This window comes from Homo sapiens, chromosome 20, assembly GCF_000001405.40.
Source record: "Homo sapiens chromosome 20, GRCh38.p14 Primary Assembly".
Classification (NCBI taxonomy): Eukaryota; Metazoa; Chordata; class Mammalia; order Primates; family Hominidae; genus Homo; species Homo sapiens.
The window spans coordinates 43,894,718-43,895,917 of NC_000020.11; the positions used below are offsets into that span (position 1 = coordinate 43,894,718).

The window sequence follows — 1,200 nt, forward strand, 5'->3', positions numbered from 1 at the left end:
TTCCAATCTCATGAGAGAAGAGCCCCTAGTTCTCAGGACTTTAACCCTCTTCCTGCCAGCACCCCCAGGCCAGTGCTGAGGTAGGGGAGGTTCGTGATCTGATGCCGGGCATCCAGAGGGAAGTGGGAGAAAGAAATGTGGAATGACTGAGTACTGGGGGCAGCTAGCACTTTGCATTTAAGGCTGTGTTTCTCACTCAGACCTAACGAAGCATAACTTACAGGGTTGAGGCGCAGGAACCCCCCTTGGTAATTCTGATTTTACTAGGATTTGAGACTCACTGACCAAATCTTTACCTCTTTCAGGCTGACAAGTTGTCTAAAAGGGCAGGAGGACTTACTCCTGACATGCATCTGCCACCCAAACCATCACAATAGCCTTCCGCCTTCTCAGTGGGAGTACGAGTGACCCTGCAGCAGAAGGCAGCAGGAGGTGGTGACAAGAATACACGTCTGGCCCTAAAACCTGGGTCAGTCACATCCTGGCTGCCATTCACCAGCTATATGATTTTAGGAAAGTGGATTCACCTCTGAGCTGCAGATTCCTCATCAATAAAATGAAGACAAGAACACCCACCCTTAGTATTTGGGTATTTAGACTGTTTCCATGTTTTTTTTATTTCTTTTATCATATTCTTGGCATTACGAGTTTAGCATTCAAGGTTCTGACCAATAAGTGATCCCAGGGGTGTTCATGAAAATCCCCGGGGAAAGCTTTTACAAAATAAAGAACGGAGTCTATTGAGCTGGAATTTGTAAGGGCATGACTCAGGAATGGAGTATTTGGAGAAAGTTCTTCAGGTCTTCCTAATGCACACTTTTATCTTTTATTTTTAAATTTTTTTATTATTCATTATTATTTTTTTAGAGACAGGGCCTCACTCTGTTGCCCAGGCTAGAGTGCAATGGTGCAATCGCAGCTCACTGCAGCTTTGACCTCCAGGGCTCAAGTGATCCTCCTGTATCAGCCTCCCAAATAGCTAGGTCTACAGGCATGTGCCACCATGCCAAACTAATTTTTTAAACATTTTTTTGTAGAGACTGGGTGATACGGTTTGGCCGTGTCCCTGCCCAAATCTCAACTTGAATTGTATCTCCCAGAATTCGTATGTGTTGTGGGAGGGACCCAGGAGGAGGTAATTGAATCATGGGGGCTGGTCTTACCCCTGCTATTCTCATGATAGTGAGTAAGTCTCATGAG

General features: G+C 45.4%; 1 long non-coding RNA gene across 1 annotated transcript; it reads left to right on the forward strand.

Annotated features, from left to right (window-relative positions):
• On the forward strand, positions 1–751 carry LINC01728 (long intergenic non-protein coding RNA 1728). The gene is made up of 2 exons (NR_134577.1): positions 1–80; positions 306–751. It is a non-coding gene; the product is annotated as a long intergenic non-protein coding RNA 1728 (long non-coding RNA).
• The last annotated feature ends 449 nt before the right edge of the window (positions 752–1,200 follow it).